The 24400-nt window shown below is 35.3% G+C and overlaps 1 long non-coding RNA gene and 1 pseudogene across 1 annotated transcript in view, besides 1 other annotated feature; one reads left to right on the forward strand and one right to left on the reverse strand.

Annotated features, from left to right (window-relative positions):
• The window catches only part of LINC02882 (long intergenic non-protein coding RNA 2882), a 159459-nt gene that overhangs the window by 16035 nt on the left and 119024 nt on the right, over positions 1–24400 (reverse strand). Inside the window, exons 5-6 of the long non-coding RNA NR_038300.1 lie at positions 8583–8677; positions 1795–1843 (exon numbers count right to left, since the gene is read on the reverse strand). This is a non-coding gene — a long non-coding RNA (long intergenic non-protein coding RNA 2882). The remainder of the gene's footprint in view (positions 1–1794; positions 1844–8582; positions 8678–24400) is intronic.
• LOC100128674 (SURP and G-patch domain containing 1 pseudogene) lies at positions 21229–22678 on the forward strand (annotated as a pseudogene).
• Positions 21892–22392: an enhancer, noted in NCBI's record as "H3K4me1 hESC enhancer chr12:74564879-74565379 (GRCh37/hg19 assembly coordinates)". NCBI's record gives its function as "activates a minimal SCP1, AML or CMV promoter by ChIP-STARR-seq in naive H9 embryonic stem cells {active_cell/tissue: H9 hESC(naive)}" and the evidence as "EXISTENCE:reporter gene assay evidence [ECO:0000049][PMID:30033119]".

The following is a 24400-nucleotide window of genomic DNA, read 5'->3' on the forward strand; positions in this document are numbered from 1 at the left end:
CTACCATTTGGTCACGGTTTCCTGATTGGCATTTTATTGATCAAAAGAATGATACCCATCTAGAAATTAAATCATTTCACTGGACTTGAGAAAAACACTGACCTAAGTTTTATTCAGAAATTTCAATATGCTCACTAGCACTAGGTTTTTTTTAATCTCTCATAAATTAAAATCAGAAGACAAGAACTCTAGAACAGACTCATTATAATAATGCTTATATAAGATGTAAAAAAATCACAATTTCATGATGCCCTATACCTTATTTGTGATGTGAGAGGCAATAAATAAACGTTATGATGAAATTCTATGAGGCCAGATTGCCTGGGTTGTATTCAGGCTCTACCACTCTTAAACTGTGGGATGTTGAAAAGTTACTTACTTTCTATGACATGATTCCTTCATTACATATAAATGGGGAAAATAATAGTGCTTCTTTTTTTGAGTTTTGTAAAACCTACATAAGCTCATCAATATAACACATTTGGAACAGGCAAATTCTCAACATTCACTAAACAGGAATATACTAAACACTTTGCAAATACTTGCTAACATTACATGTAAAATGGGAAAATTAATGTTTGTGTATTGTGTACTGCTTTGGTTCTCGTGACACTCAAATATAAAGTTAAAAAGTCAAATTGAAAATTATAAAGAACTATAAAAATATGTATTTCATGATTCAGCTTTCTGCCTATCATATAATAATATTTCTTTTTTTGTTTTTTAAGAAAATAGCTCAGTGACACAATTATAGCTCACTACAGCCTTGAACTCCTGGCCTCAAGCAAACCTCCCGCCTCAGCCTCCCGGGCAGCTGGGATTACAAGTGCCAGTCACCTCACCCAGCATGTTTTTTAAGAAGTGATTTTGACATATAAAAGACAGTTTTTACTACATATATTTTTTTTCCTTTCTCTATTCCACCATGTTTGTCTCTAAGATGATGAGTACATCTTGTGTATTGCTATCTGGACATTAGAAAGATAAGAAATTATCAAGCCTGTAGGGTTCATGTGAACTATGTGGTAATGAATAAAGTCTTTCTGAGAAACATGAATGGAGGAAAAGAGACTATTATTTCAGGACTGATATTTGAAAACCAACACAAACTTTACAGGTAAACAATGGTTCCAAGTTCACTGACAATTTCTATTTCCTAGAGTAAGCAGCAGTAAACAGGGCTAGCCTAAAGAAGGAACAGAGGAGTATTTGTTAGAATTGTTAATGAAAAGGGTCATTTAAATTATTGTTATACAATGATTTTATTCGTATAGACCATTTAATTTCAAGAAACTTTGCACTTTAATCTCTTAGTTCTTTCTGTGCACTTCTAATGTGCATCATCAAGCATTTAATTGCATTTCAGTTACATGCCTTCTATGGATCTAGAGACTTTTTCTTTTAATCTGCTCAATCTTGTGATACATTGACTGACAATTGAGCATAGAGTTTAAAAAAATATATTTTTTTTCAACAAAGAACTCTTCTGTAACTCTGGAAGCCTGTGTAAACTGATAGCTTACAAGTAGCAGAGCAAAGACTCAAAATGAAATTTTATCCAGAGCTCACTCACATTTCCAAAATCAGGTTACTGACAGAAATATTCTCTCATTTCCTAGGGACCAAGAAATGTCTCAGTTTGCTAAACAACCTTATGGTATGCATGAGGGTACTAAAGAAATCTGATTCCAACCCTAAGGCCGGCTTAATTCACAGCTGCTGAATAGTTGATATCGGATTGGCCCTAAGCAGAAAGCTACTTGGAAACTAAAGTATGAAAATATTCTAATGTACCTGCATAGATCCAGATTTCACAATTGAAGAAGTCAAGCAGAAATTCAAACTGTAAACAAAGCCAGAACAAATGGTCATTTTTTTGGTGGCACCTCCCTAGAGAACAAGGGACATACATTTCTCTTCAATATGTCTCCACTCAACTTCATGGCAAACATGCAAATTGGTTTTAATATAATTTGTTTTCACCATTAAGAAGGTATATATCAATGGGAAACATTTTATTTTTCCAGATTTAAATTATTTGATCTGTGAAAGAATGATGATGGATAATTTTTCTACTATATGAAGTATACTAGAGATCTCATTCGAGATCTATCAAAAAGGAATCTTTATTTGGAAAAAAAAATGCATTAAAAAAGAAAAAAGTTACAATTCTTCAAAAAGTTATCAAGATTTATATTACTGGATTTTTTTAAAAAATGTAATATATCCTTACAGGAAGAAAATGATGCAATTACCTGACAACAATAATCAATAAGTAAAGGAATAACATTACTAAATTTAAAAATGCTAAAAATTTTTGAGGGAAGCAAAGGGAAAAGTTAGAAGATACATATAGAGATAGGCAGAAAAACAGAGCATGGAGCGATTTTCATTATCGTTGTAGTCAAAGCTTTGGACCACAAGCATTAGAGGAATAACCCTGACTCAAAGGTCATTCTAACCAAGTCACAACTGTATGTTCTACATGGAAGTTTGAGGTCAAAGCTTTGTGCTAAATGCCTGCACTATACCATCTGTATATCTACTATGTGAACTTTGGCTAGGGCAAAAACTGTTAAAGGATTCAGGATTCTACTAGTTCTTCAAAGATGCATATAAAGTATAGCATAGTATGATTTCATCTGATTTACAGTCATAGAAAGGGAGAAAAAAGTCATTGTGGGGTTCTGTGCTTTAGTGTATGTAATTTACTTTTACGGGAAGTTGTTTCATTCCAGAACAATCTTGTTTATCATAAATACTGAATCTTGGAAAATCACCTATTAATTCTATAATAAATGAGTCACAAGGAATATCAGGCTGAATTTCAACAAATAATTTCAGAATTATATCCATCATAATTTACACCTGAACTTTTTAGTATAAAAGGAAGCCATAATCATTGAATTAATAATCCAACATAATAATCACTCAATAGGAGGGTTAGGATGGTATTGATGAAAAAGAACCCATGTACTATTAACTATAGTGAAGTTTCATAGCACTTTTAACCTCCTTTGTCTTTCTTTTTTTTAGATTTTATATTTTACTTAAACCCAAGTACCTAAATGCTATTAATAGTATGTGGATTATGACAATTCAGAGGCTAATGAAATCGCTGAATAGCTTATATGGCTACCCAGAAGGGATTTGGAGGCAAGATGTACTTTAGGTTGACATTCTATGTAGTAATTTGTATTATAGTGAAATGAGTCTACAAAGTATCTAGTAGACCAGGAAAAAAACAGTGATTTTTTTTTTTTTTTTAAGAATAACATCCTTTTATCTCTTCTTATGCACTTACCCTCTTAGGTTACTTAGCTTGTCACCACAATAAATAGCTTCTACCTCCTGCTAAGCCATGCTCAGTGGGGGCTTTGTAAGGTCAGAAAACTAAGCAAACAGGAACAGAGGATGAAAGGAAAATAGTTTTATAAAAAGGCAGAAATGTTAGGAAAACATAGAAAAATATATACGGTTAGTCTACAGTAGTACTTTGCAAAGCATGCTGTATGTAACATGAAATCCATAAAATATTTTTATCGTGAGACAATCCATTAAAAAGTGCCATATTCAAAAACTGTGGAAAATCTGCATATGCCAACAGATTCAAAGGTATGTTTGCACATCTAATGCTCTAACTCATGAAGAGAAGAAACTTATTTAACCTTGCTTAGCTATGTGATTCCAAATGTGTTTGATTGTTGAAGTCTTTCTACCACTTAATTCCTATCAAACAGCTGCTTAAATCAGGGTTCTGCAAATCACACTTTGGGAAAACGTGGTTTGGGTTAAATAGTCAAGTGTTGATTGTTCCCTTCCAAAATGAAAATTAAAAGAGCTAAATATATTCAAAAGACAAACATTTTATATTTGCATTTCTCATGCATATATTCATTCATTTAAAAATTTAAAAATAAAACAACTATCTGTGAGATCATGTCAGTCAAACTGGAGTTCCTGCCACCCTGTTGATTAGATAGTGCTTTAATCCCTTGGATTGAAATTCTTTAAAAAATTACAAGACACCATTTCCTTTTTCTCTCCCAAATATACTGCCAAGGAGGGTACAGCTATAACAACCCATTGCTCTCACCTTCTTCAAGTATCCTACTGGTTTTGTAACCAAGAGAAGGAAGCATGGCTCACTTACAGAATGAGGCAGACAGACGGATTTTCCACCGTTAAAGCCGAGTATCTGAATTCTACCCTTTAACTCTACCAACAGTGTGAGAAAGTGTTTTGACACCCTTATGATTTCTTCAGAGCAGAAATTTTGGACCTAGTGTGACCTCCAGCCATAAATGTCAGATCTCATTTGGAATAAAAAGGGAAGAATTTCCTTCAGTTCCTTTTACAGGAAAAAGAAAAGCAACCTAGCATGATCTAAACAAATAAAAGCCTTAACTTTTGTAGATATATATTCTTCTCTTTTAATTCAGATATTCAGTCTGTTTTCAGAAAAGAGTCCATAAATATTGGTGTATAATATATAGGAGTAAATGTCTGTTTATATCATTGCCTTCATATGAGAAGGCTGCGTGTGTGGGATAGTCTTAATGTCAAGGGACTAGATGCAGTTACCTTCCAATAGAAAATATAGCAATATTATATACAAGATTATAATATAATTAGACAATTAGAAATAGACATATGCACAGAATTAAAGATAGAGTATTAATTAGAGTCATTTGAGCTATTTCTAAAGAAAAGGTTAAAATAGGAATAATAAGAGGGACAAAAAGCAACAGCATGTTATGCATAGGATATTATATGCATATAATCAAAGATATAAAGAGACTGAAAGTGGTGAAGTATGACACAATGTTCTTATCTGGGTGACTGGGCTAACTGTGATACTGCAATATGATTTTGAGAATACATAAATAGACTGCGAGGATGGGATGATGAGCTTATTATAGTGCATTTTGTTGTGGAAGTATCCACTAAATGTTTAGATAGCAAAGGGGATGGGAGAGGTGGAGGGAGGTCTGGCCTAAAGCTACAAAACTGGTAATTTTCAGCACATCAGAGATAACTGAAAGCCTGAGAGAGAATTAGATAAGCCAGATAAGTGATAGGTTGGGAGAGATTTAGTGAGAATACCTTAATTTGAAGGGATCCATAGGGAATATTATATCCAACTACATATTATTTTAATATTATATATTATATTAATGTCTTATTTCTCTTTATGTGCCATTTACCTTTTTAAATATGTTTACACTTAAAAAGCAGTCTTGCAGTATATCCAAATAATTTAAATCTTTGTAGAAAAAGAAAACTCCTACCTTCCAAATAGTTTGTCAGTACTACTATTGAACCCACACACCATGAGTGTAACCAAAGTCCTACTCTTTTATTTGTCCTTTAATATAAATAGGGAAATTCCAATTTTAAACATAAATAAATCTTCGCTTGAGGTGATATTTTATGCAGAATTATTGATGAATTATGTTAAATTGTTCCTATATTAATATGATGTCATCAGTACTATTATTCAGGACACATTCTCTTCCATGTTTCAGGGTAACTGAACTTTAGAATTAGATATAGATGGTATTATTTATTTTAGGAGAGCAATATGGCATAACGGAGATTGCATGGACTTCGGAATTGAAAAACTCAACCTCAAACTGTAATTTTTTTTTTTTTTTTTGAAACAGGGTCTGGCTCTGTCACCCAGACTGGAGTGCAGTGGTGCAGTCTTGGCTTTCTGTAGCCTCAACCCAGGTTCAAGCAACCCTCCCACTTCAGCTTCCCCAGTAACTGGGACTACTGGCACACACCACCATGCAGAGCTAGTTTTTTGGATTTTTTTCTAGAGGATCTCAAATAATTTAGTGTTAGAAAACACACTTCAGCCAGTTGTAGTCCACCTGTCCACACACACACAAAAGTGTAGAGCTTGAAGATAGTTTATGTACAACCCAAAATCAGATATACAATATTTTTCAAGACTGCAGAAGATTCCCTCATTCATTTTTCTGTTCATTTCTCACCCTCAGTTTTCTAATTATTCTGGCTTTCTTAACCATCATTTAGTCCATTCTTGAAATTCACATAAATGGATTTATATAATATATCCTCTTTTGTGTCCTGCTTCTTTTGCTCAACATAATGTTGATAAAATTAATCTACATTATTCTGCATATTAAGATTTTATTATTTTATAGATTAGTATTGATTTTGAATAGGTGGGTAGCATTTATTTTTTATAGGTGGGTATTATCTATTTTTTATATGTAAGTAGTTTTTTTTTATAGGCTGGTAGTATTTCATTGTTTGAGTGTATTACCACTCATCGATTTTCTTATAGGTAGATTTATGGGTTGTTTCCAGTTTGGAAATATGAATAAACCTGTCGTAAATATCATTTCGGATATGAGTTTTGAGAATCTATGCACTCATGTCTTTCAGGTACGTAGTAGCAATGGATTTTCTGAGTCAGGATGTAGGCAAATGTTTAGCTTTAGTAGATACAAGCAGTTTTCCAAAGTCTTTTAACCAATTTATACAATCACCAAAAGTGAATACAAGTTCCGGTTCCTCTACATCCTTGCCAATTATTAATACTGTAAATCTATTTAATTTTAGCTATTCCATAGGTGAAAAAGTGGTATATCATGGAGGAATCAATTTGTTTCTCCAATGGTAGATAATGTTAAATATTGTTCCATATACTTATTGGAGGTTTGAATATTCTCCTTTATAAAGTTCCAGTTAATGTTAATTTCTTTCATTGGATAATATATTGATTTCCTCTTTATTCCTGAAGGATATTTTCATTAGATAAAGAATCTTGGTTGGTAGTTCTCTTCTTTCTGGCCTTTATGGTTTCTGATGAGAAATCTGTTGCCTATTAGAATTATTTTTGCCTTATTGGTAATGTGTCATTTCTCATTTACAGCTTTCAATGTGTTTTCTTTGTCTTTAGTTTTCAGAAGTTTAACTGTCATGTCTGTTGGTGTAATATTTTTTGTTTTATCCTGTTGAGAGTTTGCTCAATGTATTAGTCAGTGTTCTCTAGAGAATCATAACCAATGAGATAGATGATAGATAGATAAGAGGGGATTATTAAGGGAATTGGCTTAATTGATTATGGAGGCCAAGGAGTCCCGTGAACAGTCATCTGCAAGCTGAAGACTCTGAAATGCTGGTATTACGTATGGTTCAGTCCAAGTCTGAAAGCCTCAGAACCAAGGAAACTAATCATGTAACTCTCGAAGGCAAAAGCCCAAGAACCCGAGGGGCTACTGGTGTAAGTTTTGGAATCCAAAGGCTGGACAGCCTGGATGTACCAGGTTAGCAGAAGAAGGGTATTCCAGCTGTAGAATAGAAAGAGAAAGAATTTGCCTTTCCTTGGCCTTTCTATTCTATCAGGACCCTCAGATAATAGGATAGTGCTCATCCACACTGAGGGCAGATCTTTCCTAGCCAGTCCACCAACTCACATGCCAACCTCTTCTGGAAATACCCTCTCAGACCTACCCAGAAATAAGGTTTTTCCAGCTCTCTAAGTATTTCTTAATCCAGTCAGGTTGACAGCTGACACTATCACACTTAGCTTCTTTAGACTAATGTGTTTCTGTTTTTGCCAGCCTAGAGACATTTTTAGCCATTATTTTTTAAGTACTATTACAGCCTCACCTTTTTTGTTTCCTTCTTGGACTCTAATAACATGAATGTTATGGTTTTTTTTTTTCATTATAATCCCACTGTTCCTGCCCAGTTCTGTCCACTTTTTATTCAGTCTATTTTCTTTCTATTCTCATTAAGTAATTTTTGTTGTTGCATCTTCAAGGTCTTTGTCTCCTTTGTTTCATCCATTATGCTGTTGAAATTATCCATTGAGTTACTAATTTCAATTATTTTATTTCTCAGTTCTATAATTTTTACTTAGTTCTTCTTTATATCTTTACTTTCTTTACTGAGACTTTCTACTTCCTTGCCATAGATTCCTATTTTTATGTTTCAAGCTATTTTTTGTGGCTTATTTAAGTATTTTTATTATGGCTGCTTTAAAATCTTTGCCAGATAATTCTAACATCTCTGTTATCTCAGTGTCAACATGTATTGATTATCTTTTTAATTCAGTTTGAGATCTTTTTGGTTCTTGGTATGATGTATAATTTTATATGAATACCTAGATATTTTGGGTATTATAAAATGCTGCATCTTACTTAAGCCTGTTTTAGCTCTCTTTCTCTGACATCACTCTGGCAGGGGAAGAGTGGGGCACCCCCTTGTTACTGCCAGAAGGGGACAGAAATTCGGTTCTACACTTGGCCGACATCTATACTCAAGGAGGGAAGGTACTAATTATTGTGAGATATTAGGAGTTCTGGCTCACCGCTAGATTTCTACTAATATCTCCCTATCTAGTAGGAGAAGGGGTGCCTTGTTTCTGTATCTCACATGACCTGTACTTACACTAAGATAGCTGGGGGTGGGAAGCCTTATTGCTACTGAGAAGGTGAAAGCATTGACTCTCTGAGAGACATCTTTTAATACCTTCCCAGTGAGGAAAAGAAAGAGTAACAGTTCATTACTGCAAGGTAGAAGTGAAAATGGAGGCTTACCATTTGGTCTTCATTAATACCATGTGAGGGTCCTTGTTACCACCTGGAGAGAAGGAATGTCTTGGTACCCAATTCAGCCTTCTCTGACACCAGCCCTGTAGGGTAGAGAAGGGAGGTTTATAAACTTCACTACAACCTAGAGACAATGAAAATCTAGGCTCTGAACTCTGCATTTGCTGGCTGGATGAGGGTGGTACCATGGTCTTTCTTAAGGTGTTTTTCTTCAATAAAGAGTTTATTGTATAAAAGTTTCTGTCTTGCTAGATTGCCATTTTTCTGTTCTTTCAGTTAGGAACAGCAGGCATCTGTTAGGACTTTTTAAAAATATGTTTCTGTTGGCATTACCAGGTTACTATCTTAGCCAGCTCGCAGTTTGGAATATGTGAATCAAAAAGAAAATCCAGGAAACTCATCACTACATCATTTCTCCGGTACTGAGGCCCCTAAACTGCCTGATTCTCTCTCTCCACCTTTCAGAATACGTTTTATATATGTCTCAGTTTTTAATTGTACATAGCCAGAGGAATAGGGAAAAATGTGTCTAATCCCAGGCAAAAGTATATATACATATATATATGTATATATATATACATATATATATATATACACATATATATGTGTATATATATATATATACACACACACACACACACATACACACAAACACACATATATGTATTTGTGTGTGTGTGTATATATATATATATATACTTTTTGTGTGTGTGTGTGTGTGTGTATATATATATATAAAACTTTTCATTATTGGCTCTATAACCACATAACACAACCAAATTTTAAAATTCTAGTGAAATAAATTTCTAAATAAAATATTCACAAATACTTATTTGATACTAAATCGAATAAGTATCATCTTATCAGATATAACCATTCTCTTTTAAGGCTAAGAACGAGGAGCATCTCCTTGGTTATAGCTTAATACTTGCCGTGGCAAAATGTGCAAACTTACAAGAGAAATGCAATATATATACATATATATAATATATATATAATATAAATTATATATGTACATATATGATTTATATATACACATATATATACACACAGTTGTGTAATAAATTAAATAATAATTATCTTTGAAAAAAGTGGGACTTGGGATCAAACATAAGATTTGAAGAATACAATAAAAATATTAATAATTTCTGATATGGGATGGTGAGTATGTACCCAGGCATATGATGAAAGATCTATAGAGTTTAATATATTTTTATCATTTCACAAAATAAAAATTATTTGCATATGTGGAATGATGTATACAACACTGAACCATTACATCTGAAAATCGAAGTAAAACAGGTAATTTACAAAGAAAATTTTATTTAATGAAGTTGGCTGAATAAGTAATAAAAGTTTGAAGGAAAAAACAATAGGAAATTATGAAAATAGTAAATATATTTTGTCCTAAATTAGAATACACTGAGGTTATTTTATTCTGAGTTCTGAAATGCCTTCAGAAAGTAGTTTCCATTATTTACACTATTTGAGAACACAAGAAAAGTTGTGAAACTTTTTAACTTTTCATTATTGGCTCTATAACCACATAACACAACCAAATTTTAAAATTCTAGTGAAATAAATTTCTAAATAAAATATTCACAAATATAATTTACCAGTGTTTTGAAAATAAAATATATCATGACAAAAGTAATATTCAACCCTGAGAAGACAACACATATTAAATTCCCTAAGAATTAAATTTTTGGTAGTCATTCTAAGTTGTCAAAATATTGTAATAAAGCATAAATTTATAAAATAAAATATCAAACTCTTAATATGACAGGACTAATTTACCCACCATGTAAGATAACTATTCTTAGTGGAGAGTTAAGAAATAATGTATTAAAGACAGAAAAATGTGTGAATAGTTGCATCTAGGTAAACTGTAGCCTAAGTGCACAATATAGGGTAAACAATTTAGTAAAATGTGGTATACAACCCATATTCTAAGAAAATAAACATTTTATTGACAGAAGCACTGGGAAGAAAATTTGACTTGATGTCTTAAACTTGAGTTATTGTTCTTAATTTCTTAATTCAATGATATTAGAACCTAGATGTTTTTGAATCAGCTACATCTCATTTTTATCCTCTATACATCCTATTGAATGTATTATCCTACTATAAACAGTTGACCTGGAAACACAAAATTCATGAATACTGAAAGAAAACTGTGATTTTTTTCACTATTTTTAGTTTTGTTTTAAAGAATTTCTTATTGTTGTGTTTGTAAACACATGTACGCATGCATATACACAGAGTTGCATTTCTCTTGTAAGTATGCACATTTTGCCACGGCAAGTATTAAGCTATAACCAAAGAGATGCCCCTCATTCTTAGCTTTAAAAGAGAATGGTTATATCTGATAAGATGATACTTATTTGATTTCTTACTTGATCTGTTGGCTGGAACACCTAAAATCAACTCCTCAGTCCTTCTCTTACATGGTCCTCTCTCTAGTTGAGGCAACCTCCAAGACTCTAGACACCAATCTCTGATTCTCCTATTTTCTTGAATTATTCAACTTTATGGTCATCTCCATCCTGACTTTCTAACTATTTGAGCCACATTCGTATCATATTTTAGGATCAATCAAGAACTGCCTAGCCTGAGGGCATTTTGAATAGCAGCATTCTGTATCTGAAAGTTCTATAAAACAGAGACTCAGTATAAAACTGAAGGAAACCTAGACAAGGAAAAATCTTTAAGTTGGTTTACTCCACCAGTTTCTGATGTCCTTCCTCGGTGACACTCCAGAGGATCAAAGCCAGGTCTAGGATTGTAATTCAGAGTTCAGAGGTGGCAGGAATAGGAGTGAAGTGGAGTCAACCTCTCAGCAGAGAGACTTGCCTCACATATAGGAAAATAACAACAAAACTTCTCTAAAAAGTATATTTTTGGTGAGCTATCATGAATCTTCTTTTAGGAAAAAAAATACAGCTTATTTTGTTGAATTTTTTGGTGTCATTTAAAAAATTCCAGCCTCCAGTTCTCTGATTAAAACACCTCCCAACTTGACTCAGGTCAAAACCATTAATTAAGACAAGCATAATCTCTCCTACAATGTGAGCTGAAATTTCCCCCAATTATCTTTTAGTAACTCAGCTTCTGGTGACAAATTATTCCATATTAATCAAAACACTTGTATGAACTCTGTAGGTAGAAGGCCACACTGCTTTGCCTCTAAGGAACTTGGATTCCACCTTCAAGATCTCGTGTCAGAGAATGATTCATGACTGACAAGAATCCATGCTGAAGGCTAACCTTAGGGCTTCTGAGACCTGCGGCCCCACCCTTTCTCTTAATGAATGGCGAACAGTCTTCCATCTCTTAAGTCTTGTAGAGCCTAATTCTTCTATCAGTTGTTCTGCTCTTTGTTGTAGTATTAAAATAACGTCAATGACTTCCAGGATTTATTTTACATAGAAATTGCTTCTAATAAAGTTGCTCACCTGTTGCTAATGTTGAATTTGCCTGGTCAAGTCAAGTTGATCATTAGTCCCAGCAAGTGCTACACATGTAGTTCTTGGGACATAGTTAAATTGACCTAAATTCCCATGAAATCGTATACAGTTGATCTCTTATCTTTTACCCAAATTATTTTTAAAAGAAAATTCAACCTGTATCACTTCACTGATAGAATTAACATTTAAAGCTGGGTGGCTTATGCCTGTAATCCCAGCATTTTGGTAGTGCTGGGCGGATCATCTGGAGTCCAGAGTTTGAGACCAGCCTGGCCAACATGGTGAAATCCCGTCTCTACTGAAATTTTAAAAAATTAAAGGGACGTGGTGGCATGTGCCTGTAATCCCAGCTACTCGGGAAGCTGAGGCAGGAGAATCACTGGAACCAGGAGGCAGAGGTTGCAGTGAGCCAAGATCGCAGCACAGCACTCCATCCTGGGTGACAGAGCAAGACTCCATCTCAAAAAAATAAAAAGAAAGAAAAGAAATACAAAAAAAAAAATTAGGAACTGCCTATATTTAAATACTGTGATTTCTTATTTAAAACAAATTAATGAGGGCCTGGCCTGGTGGCTCACGCCTGTAATCCTAACACTTTGGTTGGCTGAGGTGGGTGGATCATTTGAGGTCAGGAGTTCAAGACCAGCTTGGTCAACATGGTGAGAACCCCGTCTCTACTAAAAATACAAAAATTAGCCAGGAGTGGTGGCACACACCTGTAATCCCAGATACTCAGGAGGCTGAGGTAGGAGAATCACTTGAACCCAGGAGGCAGAGGTTGCAGTGAGCCAAGATTGCACCAGCCTGGGTGACAGAGTGAAATTCCGTCTCAAAAAAATAAATAAATAAAAAATAAAAATAAATTAATTAACGAGAATATAGCAGTAGTTTTTAGATAAAGGGTAAATGATATTTTTCTGTAGATGGTTAAGCTTTTCTTGGCAGGTACTAAATGATCAAGGGTCACACTGAAGGTGTTCTGATTGAAAAATAATAACTGCACCTTATAATGTTTATATAGAGGAGACTTGCTTCTGCGTTTCTGAAAGTTCTACATCTCACCTTTCTCCTTTTACAGGAATGTGTTACGGAGGGATGGGAAAATCTCCACAGTTTTGTTACTGATTATCTGAATATATACACAGCGGAAGCTAGTTTTCAACTACCATTTTCCCCCGCAATTCTCCCCTGAGAAGTGTCTCTTGAAGTTGTTTAGTTGAAAGTTTAAATGGTAACGAGACCAGAAATGATATTTAGGATTCTGTACGGGGATAAGGAATTGAAAGAGGGCAGGCTCCTGAGATTAGTCTATGGTGACATATGAACACAATTATGGCCTCAGGCTGACCATTGAGAATCCATGAACCAAGGATTTAGCAATAAAAAGATTTGGTGCCCTTTTGCTGAGAGAATCTTTGTTCCTCTCCTAAATTTCACAGACAGCACAAATAGAAGAAAGAAAGACAAACATGCACATGGAATGTGTAACCAGTTTAGGGGAAGAAAGGTTAATTAGTAGCAGAAATGGTTAAGGTTGCACTGTAAGAGAAAGATCTTCTTAAGGACTCCACTGAAAAGCAGGGCATCAAAGGATCATAAAAGAGCAAGGGGTGCACACAGTAGAAATATGGATTTTGTTATGTCAGAGCCTAGATTTTTAAAGAACTACTATGATGGGGCTACAAAAGTGTACACAGATATTTTGAACTCCAGAGTTCATATCTTCCCTACAGAGTTGTATTAGTCAGTTCGAAATTTTAAAACTTTGTTAAAACTTTATCAACTCTTTTATATTCAGCTGTTTTGAATATTTATGTTATCTAATATTTATGTTATCTAATGTTATCATAATTGTTCTCTTTCCTGTATTGTGAATTGTCAGTTCATAGTGTATTTATCTATTATTATATCAGTATTTTCTTATCTATTTGTCTGAGGCATTTAAACTTTAATGATAGAAACAGTCTAATTTGTTTTAATAATTTGATTCATAGTATTTGTCTTTTAATTGCAGTTTCCTCAAAGTTGTAGTATTTTATGCTGAGAATTTACTGACATTCTTATTTGGAAGTTCTTCCATTGCTTTTAAATTCAGATAACTTGCCCTGCTGAATTTTTTTTCCCACAATACTTTTATAATATACAACACAACTAGTATTATTTAGAGCCTCATTATGATATCATTAGGACATCATCTTTAATATGTTTATTTGTGTTTGTTTCTGCTTCTGTATTAATCTGAAAACAAATTTTATTTATAAAGTAGTTATTAGTTCCCTCATATTTTCTTATCAAACTAAAGCAAAGGGGTGGAGAAAAATAATATTGCCTATTTTAGCAAGAATGTATGATAAGTAGCTGTTGAGGAACATACTAATAGTATAGTAAAATTCTGGAAGGTAATAATTTCTTAAAGCCATTACAAGCACTGTGTCTTTGAAAATTATGCATGTGATAAAAACAATGAAAGAAATGATAGCATCTGCACTGCTAAGCAACAACCTGAGAAAAGCAAACTGTCAAAATATAATTTTTCCTTCCACATAGCATATGTAGTAACACACTACAGGGACATAAAATGCCAAGGGAATCTATAAAGTCTCTTTTAGAATTATTAGATATCTATTAATTTTGTAATTGAAAACTATGCTTTGTTTGTAAATGTGTATGCGATGTGTACAAATATTCTGAAATATCTTTAATTTATAAACTATAAATATTATCTATGGAAACAATTTTAGGATAATAAGGTACTTCATTCCAATTTCCTCACAAAAAGAAAGTGGTAACCAGGAGGTTTGAATAGCTTGTAAATTATTAAAATTTTGGGAAGGTCATAAGATGATCAGCACAAGCATGTTTCACTTCATGTAGCTACTGGAGTAGGATGTAGTGTGATTGAGAAGGATTAGATTCAGTTCTGTCACAGTCATTCAGTGATTCTGCTTATTGTGACAGCCCAAGTATCATGAGGGTATTGACAAATGTTGATATAGAATTATATGCTTCAAATTATCTTCTTAACCCATTTATTCCTAAGGTTGCAATGTCTTGAATTTTTGCAATCAGACTTTGGTGATGATCTTGATCAGTAGGATATAAACAACCCCCACATGCTCAGTGTTCCAATAATAAAACACAAGGCATACATGGAATCATTGAAGAAAAAATTCATTAAAATGTTAATATGTATAACCAAAAAAAATTTTACTATCTAGGAACTAAGACAAAGCTTTCAATTAAACTATGTTGATTCACTCGTTACTAAATTATAATCAACAATTACACATACACAGTAACATATAATGATAATAATAGTAGTAATACTGCTACTAATACTAATACTAATGATTTTTTTAAAATCTAGGAAGCACCAGGCATTGCATTGTGCATTTTATATGCTTTCTCTATTTAATCTTCACAAAAACTCTACATAGAAGTTACATTCTATAACAATGCCTCTCACACTTTTTTATTTAGTTTTTTTTTTTTAATTCAGACTGAAAATGTCCAAAGACAGGGATAACATGGCAAAATCAGAGTATAAATCTAAGTGTTTAACTTAACTGTGTAATACTGGCAGTTGTCAATTCTAAAAAGCATTTTAACCTTTTTTATTTTATCTGGTAAAAATTATATGTTTAAAAGACAAAGGAGTAATTTCAACATTTAGGATGATGGTTAATTATGGAAGGGAGGAGGACAGGATAGGAAAGTAAGGAGCAAAGAGATAGAGTTAATATTTGCAATGTTCTGCTTTTTTTTTTTTTCTTTTTTTGAGACAGAGTCTCGCTCTGTTGCCAGGCTGGAGTGCAGTGGCACGATCTTGGCTCACTGCAACCTCCACCTCCCAGGTTCAAGTGATTCTCCTGCCTCAGACTCCCAAGTAGCTGGGATTACCGGTGTGTGCCACCATGCCCAGATAATTTTTGTGTTTTTAATAGGGACAGGGTTTCACCATGTTGGCCAAGATGGTCTCGATCTCTTGACCTCATGATCCGCCTGCCTTGGCCTCCCAAAGTGCTGGGATTACAGGTGTGAGCCACCGCGCCTGGCCTGTTCTGCTTTTTAATTGAGGTGGTAGATCCATAGGTGTTTGTTCTATATTTATTACCAATATGTGATATATATTATATATATATATAAAATACATATATAATCAATTAAACAATTTTAAAGTTTCTCAAATTTCTGGTAATTTAATATCCATTCAGATAATATAAAGTACATTTTTGAACTGATTAGGCCCATCTAGAACCTTGCTTAAAAATGCTGTGCCAATCAGAAATGAAAAAGGTTACGTTACAATCGATTCCACAGAAATATAAAATCCTCAGAGACTGTTACAAACATCTCTATGAATACAAAACTAGAAAATCTAGAGGAAATGGATAAATTCCCAGAAACACACAATCTCCCAAGATTGAATCAGGAAGTAATTGAAACACGGAAAAGACCAATATTGAGTTCTGAAATTGAATAAGAAACAAAAAACCTCCAACCAAAAGAAGCTCCAGACCAGATGGATTCACAGCTGCGTTCCACCAGACATTCAAAGAAGAATGGATACCAATTTTACTGAAACTATTCCAACAAATTAAGGAGGAAGGAATCCTCTGTAACTCATTCTATGAAAGCAACGTCACTCTGATATCAAATCCTGGCAAAGACACCACAAAAAAAGAAAACTACAGGCCAATATCCCTGATGAACATAGATGCAAAAACCCTCAACAAAATACAAGCGAACCAAATGCAGCAGCACATAAAAAGTAAATTCACCATAATCAAGTAGATGTTCTTGCTAGGATGCAAGGTTGGTTCAACATACACAAATAAATAATGTGATTCACCACATAAACAGAATTGAAAACCAAAACTATATGATCTCTCAAAAACACGGAAAAAGGCTTTGATAAAATCAAATATTCCTTCATGATAAAAACACTCAGGAAACTAGACATCGAAGAAGCATACCTCAAAATAATAGGAGACATCTATGATAAACCCACAGCCCACATTATGCTGAATGGGCAAAAGCTGGAAACATTTCCCTGGAGAACTGGAACAAGACAGGGATATCTACTCTCACTATTCCTTTCAACATAGTACTGAAAGTCCTAGCCAGGGCAATCAAGCAAGAGAAAGAAATAGGCATCCAAATAAGAAAAGAAGAAGTGAGATTTTCTCTCTTCACTGACAACATGATTCCACATCTATAAAAACCCTAAAGACATGAGCAAAAGGCTCCTGGAACTAATAAACAACTTCAGGAAAATTTCAGGATACAAAATTCATGTACAAAAATCAGTAGCATTGCTATACCCCAATAAGGTTCAAGCTGAGAGTCCAATTAGGAATGAAATCCCATTTACAATAGCTACAATAGAAAAAAATATATATCTAGGAATACACCTAACGAAGGAGGTGAAAGACCTTACAAGGAGAACTACAAAATACTGATGAAAGAAATCATATAAAGGACAAACAAATGGAAAAACATTTAATGCTCATGGACGGAAAGGAACAATATAATTAAAATAATCATACTGCCCAAAGCAATCTATAATTCAGTGTACTACCTATCAAATTGCCAATGTAATTTTTCAAAGAATTATAGAAAAACCATCCTAAAATTCATTTGGAACTAAAAAAGAGCCGGAATAGCCAAGGCAATCCTAAGCAAAAAGAACAAACCTGGAGGCATCAAATTACTCAACTTCAAGCTATACTAAAAAGCTACAGTAACCAAAACATCCTGGTCTTGGTCCAAAAACAGACACATAGACCAATGGAACAGAATACAGAGCAAAGAAATAAAGCTGCACACCTACAAATATCTGATCTTTGACAAAGTTGACAAAAACAAGCAATTGGGAAAGGACTCCTTATTCAATAAATGGTGCTGAGATAGCTGGCTAGCAATAAGTAGAAACTGGACCCATACTTTTCACTACATATAAAAATTAACTCAAGATGGATTAAAGACTTACATATAAGACCTCAAACTCTAGAAATCCTGGAAGAAAATCTAGGAAACACCATTCTGGACATTGGCTTCAGGAAAGAATTTGTGGGTAAGTCCTAAAAAGCAACTGCAACAAAAACAAAACTTGACAAGTGGGTCCTAATTAAACTAAGGAGTTTCTGCACAGCAAGATAAACTATCAACAGAGTAAACAGACAGCCAACAGGATGGGATAAAATACTTGCAAACTATGCAGCTGGTAAAGATCTAATATCTAGAATCTTTAAGGAATTTAAACAAATCAACAAGCTAAAAACAAATAACCCACTTAAAAATGGGCAAATGATATAAAGAGACACTTCTTAAAGGGAGACATACAAGCAGCCAACAAATATATTTTTAAAATGCTACACATCACTAATTATCAGAGAAATGCAAATCCAAACCACAATTTGGAGACTCAGGGGAAAGGGTGGGAGGGAGGTTAGAGAGAAAAGACTACCCATTGGGTACAGCGTACACTGCTCGGGTGTTGGGTTTACCAAAATCTCAGAAATCACCACTAAATAACTTATTCATGTAACCAAACACTATCTGTTCCCCAAAGGCCTACTGAAATTTTAAAAATTCGTAAAAAAAAATTAAATAACTTGAAAAAAAAAACAACCTGAATGAGATACCATCTTACACCAGTCAAAATGGCTATTATTAAAAAGTCAAAAAAAAAAAAACAGATGATGGTGAGGCTGTAGTGAAAAAGAAATACTTACACACTGTTAGTGGAAATGTAAATTAGTTCAGACACTGTGAAAAACAGTGGGGACATTTTTCAAAAAACTTAGAACTACCATTTGACCCAGCAATCCCATTACTGGATATATCCAAAAGAAAATAAAATCTTTCTACTAAAGAAACACGTGCACATATATGTTTACTGCAACACTATTCACAATAGCAAAGACATCATCACTGATAGGTGATCATCAATGCCGGATTGGATAAAGTAAGTGTAATATATCTATAACATGGAATACTACTCAGCCATAAGAAAGAATAAAATCATGTTCTTCTGTAGCAACATGGATGCACCTGGAGGCCATTATCCTAAGCAAATTAATGCAGCAACAGAAAACCAGACCAGTTTTCCTCTAATTCTGCATTTTCCTAATTATAAATGAGAACCTAACACTGCATACTCATGGACATAAAGATGGAAACAATAGACACTGGGGACTACTAGAGAGGGTAGGGCAGGAGGGGAGCAGGTATTGAAAAACTACCTATTGTGTACTATGCTCAGTACCTGGGCGAGATCCACTGTACATCAAACTTCAGCATCACACAATATACCCAGGTAACAACCCTGCACATGTACTCTCTGAATCTAAACTAAGAGTTGAAAAAAAAAACATAAAATAAAAATAAAAGGAAAAGTAAAAATGCTGTACCTATGGAGGGCAAATGAGATAAGCAGTATTCTTTTAAGAAAGTTAGCCTAGTCAGGCTTATTTCTGACCTTATTGGGATATATTATATCATGGTCAGTCAACTTAATAGAGAGGATATGATTTAACACAGGATTTAATTTTTATTCTTATGATACATAATGAAAAAAGACTTTACCTGCAACATCTTGAATTGCTTTCTCTGTAAATGCTTAGTTTTGAAATTTTCATTGAATTAGCACAACAGAAAAGTCAACTACTATTGTCTTCACTAGTCTCCCATATGGATTTGTTTTCCTGCAAGCACATACACAGACCTACATAGACACACACACACACACACACACACACACACACACACGGCAGCACTGTCCAAACACAAGATGAAAGGAGATACTGGTACACCAAGAAAAGTAATTGGTACATTATGTCATAGTGAGCTTACTCCATAACTCTTGCTAACTAGTGGGAGACAAATACAGTATGCAGTGAAATACTCAAAATTTATCTAAAGAAAAATCCCTTCCAAAATGGAATACTTACATCAATATTAAAGTATGATAAAATATTTTGCATTTACTCTGAATATTTTTAGTAAACCTTCAAAGAATATAACTAGAGATTTTATTGACATATTTAATGTAAATGTACAGTGGTAGAGGATAATTTCTAGAAGAGATAAAAATCTTAGATTTTACTATTAGCTAAATTCATCTCAGATATTTATATCCATAATGCTTAACATGAAATACCCTGATTTTTTTAGAAATCTTAAAGCAAACTCATGTGTAATTGCAGGTGAAATAAAGCTAAATTAAATTATAAATGTATTATTATATTAAAAAGGTTAAACTTCTCTGCAAGTTACATAGGAACTTTTCAAGTTGTTTTCTATAGATACATTAGTATAATTTAGAAATTTTATATCAGCTTAATTTTTCAGAAAGTTTTCAAGAAAACAGGGTAATTCAACAGCTATATCATGATTTTATTATCTAAAAATTTTGCTAAATGTATGATGCTGAAGAAAAGCAAAAATGCAATCTCAAAAAAAGTATTGAGCCCTAAATATTAATCTCAGATTTATGTGCTAACTGAAAAACTCTATTCCCCTTTCCATGACTTGCACTTTTCTGTCCAACTTGTATAGAAATTGGGAAAATATTGAAAGAAAATAAAATCTTTCTACCAAAAAGACACATACACTTGTATGTTCACTGAAGCATGTAGATGATTAGTGATTGAACAATATAAGTATTTTTAGAGACGTTGTAAAACACTATGAAATAAAGATCTTCTTTATATTCCTCGTTTCAGGAAACTTTGTATCCCACTGTTACTAAGTAATCAATGTATGTTTTTGGCATTTCTAAATAATCAATGTATGGTTTTAGTATTTAATTTTGGGCTTACCCACTGCCATCTTCCCATTTCTTATTTGTTCTTATTAATTTATAATCCAAAGCATGGGTTTCTACATCTCTTTAACTGCCTTGAAAATACGTTTTTATATTATTTTTTTACAGTAACATTTTATAAAATAAAGTGAATTTCTTCCCATAGAACTGCACTGTAGAGGCCAGGAGCAGTGGCTCACGCCTGTAATCCCAGCACTTTGGGAGGCCAAGGCAGGAGGATCGCCTGAGGTCGGGAGTTCGAGACCCACCTGGCCAGCACTGTGAAACCCCGTCTCTACTAAAAATACAAAAAAAAAAAAAAAATTAGCCGGGCGTCGTGGTGGGCGCCTGTAATCCCAGCTCAAAGTTTCACCCTCAGAGGGAACCGAGACTCGGAAAGTAATAGAGAAATTGGCCCACTTTGTGGCAGAAGAAGGCCCCGCGATAGAAAAAAGTAGCTATAGAGGACTACAAGGAAAACCCGGCATTTGCATTTTTGCAGGATAAGAATAGCAGAGAATTTCTCTACTACAGAAAGAAGGTGGCTGAGATAAGAAAGGAAGCACAGAAGTCGCAGGCAGCCTCTCAAAAAGTTTCACTCCCAGAGGATGAAGAGGTCAAGAACCTTGCAGGGAAGTTGGCCAGGTTCGTAGTAGACTGGCATCCGGAGGTGGAAACCATCGCCCTCCAGAACAACTGTGAGAACCAGGCATTCAGCTTTCTGTACGAGACTAACAGCCAAGGATACAAGTACTACCGATAGAAGCGGGAGGAGTTCCGGAAAGCCAAGGCCGGCTCCACAGGCAGCCTCAGGGCACCCGACCCCGGCCTGAAGCCCAAGTCCCCTCCTGAGGCCCTGTTAGGGTCTTGCCTCCGGCCACCACTTGTCCCATCTCGTCCCCGCCTGCGCCTCCCGCCCCCCGTTCTCCGTCATCCCTGCTCCAGCCGCTCCAGGGAAGCCAGCCTCGGCAGCCACCGTGAAGAGGAAGCGGAAGAGCCGGTGGAGGCCAGAAGAGAATAAGGCAGAACTCCCACCTGCTGAGCTGGTGCAGAGGGACGTGGACGCCTCTCCCTCGCCTCTGTCAGTTCAGGACCGCAAGGGGTTCGGCTATAAGAAGGGGAAGCCCGTGGGTCTAGTGGGCGTCACGGAGCTGTCGGACGCCCAGAAGCAGCAGCCGAAGGAGCAGCAGGAGATGCAGCAGATATACGACATGATCATGCAGCACAAGCGGGCCATGCAGGACATGCAGCACCAGCACGGCTACCACAGCGACGAGGAGGTGGACAGCGAGCTGGGCACCTGGAAGCACCAGCTGCGGCGCATGGAGATGGACAAGACCAGGAAATGGGCCAAGCAGCTGACAAAGGTGGGCTAGGGCAAGCATTTCATGGGAGACTTCCTGCCTCCCGACGAGCTGGAGAAGTTCTGGAAATCCTCAAGGCCCTGAAGGAGAGCCGTGAGCCTGACTACTCGGAGTACAAGGAGTTCAGGCTGACTGTGGAGAACACTGGCTATCAGATGCTGATGAAGATGGGCTGGAAGGAAGGCGAGGGGCTGGGCTCGGAGGGCCAGGGCATCAAGAACCCAGTCAACAAGGCCACCACCACAGTGGAAGGTGCCGGCTTCAGCATTGACCGGCTGGCCGAGTTCTCCAAGGAGGACGACGAGTACGAGGCCTTCCGCAAGAAGATGATGCTGGCCTACCGCTTCCGGCCCAACCCCCTGAACAATCCCAGACGGCCTTACTACTGAGCGTTCTGGAAACAGGTATGAGAACCGTGCTGTGTAATAAAGTCCCCGTGCTCATTGAAAAAAAAAAAAAAAAATTGGAATGGGTGGAGGAAGACATTGAGGATTTAACTTTTTAATACTTATTATTTGCATATTCTACATGACAACTTCTCCATTGCTCACAAACTCCCAAAAATCTCTCTTCTCCCTCCTTACCCAGGAAAAAAAGGAATCCCAGAACTCAAGGACACAAACTCAATGCTACCCTGACGCAAATGGAGAGTGAAAGAAAATAACACTCTATCCATTTTCTGGTGCTATGGCAAAATAAAAACTAGACAGTTATTAAATTTCTCAATACGTTATTCTGCCACATTTAATTCTTAGTAAATCAGACTGCCACATCACGCACAGAAATAGATTTTGCTTTAACTCTCTATTGAATGCATGGAAGGTTTGTGCTTGGTGGAAAGCAGGGAAAATGGAAGGCAAAGAGTGTCTTGTTCAGTAAAATATATATTAATAGACATTCCCTTGTGTACTATAGAAAAAGTGAGTGAAATACTTATAAAGGCTGTTTCTGATACCTCTAGAGCACTGAGTTTTTATTCTGAGCTAATATAATGACCATGAAAGCCTAGCATTTATCCTCACACTCACACAAAATTGATCCCCAATTTTATATTTATTTTAACACATCACTCTGGATTACACCTTCATAGAACAGAATGTTTTTATACATGAGAGGAATGGTCTCTTTTCTGCAATTTTGTAATGTTTGCTCTCCGCAACTCCCACCCCCTCCCTTTTATATATTATAGAGAAATTTTGGTTCTATGAATGAAATATCTGGGCTCATTACATAAAATGGGTCTTTCCCAGTTTTTTTATTGAAAATTTGAGGACAATAGACAACGAGACTTGCCACATTATAAAACAAATATGTAACTTCCAGAGTCCTCCCACCCCAGACTCCACCTCCTTTTTTAGAGGGAAGATAAGCCAAACTAGTGTTTCAATCTTCACTCCTACCAATCCAGCCATATAAGCAGAAAATGGAGAGCACTGGAGGAAGAAACTGAGTCTGTTCATGCTCAGCTCACTAGGATAACTGAAAGGAGCTCCATCTCAGAGAGATTAGAGATGTTTACTAAAGAGAAATTGACATTAATCACTTCTGGTTGGATGTTTCAAAAGCTGTAGAAACCCTTAGGCCCATCCCAGAACTGCCACTGGATGGGAATATGGTAAAAATATTCTTGAGAAACTGACATTTGTCTTTAGTTGTTTGAATATATATATGAATATATGTATATACTCATATATATGAATTTTCATTCATATATATGAATATATATACACACTATATATATGTGTATATATATGTATACTCAGTGTTTACAGCCTGTTTTCCTTCTGAGGAATTTTGAAGACTGTTAGTCTCCTGGGTGAGCCATGATTAGTAGGGCAAGCAGAAAGGGAAGCAGAGACAAAGGCCCAGCTGCATTAATTTATAGGTTAAGAGATGCCATAAAAGTAGCTCTGCCAAGTCAGGATACACACTGTACAGTATGTATACCCTGAGGAAGGCAGCTTCAAAAGAGTCCACCAATACACCCCATGAAAAGACAACATTCTGATGCCAGCCAATAGAATGGGAATGCTAGTGGAAACGTACTAGTATTCTCTGTTTGCCTACACCAAAAGGATCTTATCAGAGTGGCTATGTCTGCCATGGAATAGTTGTGGAATACAGTGTGAATTCTAAGAAACAAACAAACAATAGCAAGAATCTAGA

This window comes from Homo sapiens, chromosome 12 (genome assembly GCF_000001405.40).
Source record: "Homo sapiens chromosome 12, GRCh38.p14 Primary Assembly".
NCBI classification, from domain to species: domain Eukaryota; kingdom Metazoa; phylum Chordata; class Mammalia; order Primates; family Hominidae; genus Homo; species Homo sapiens.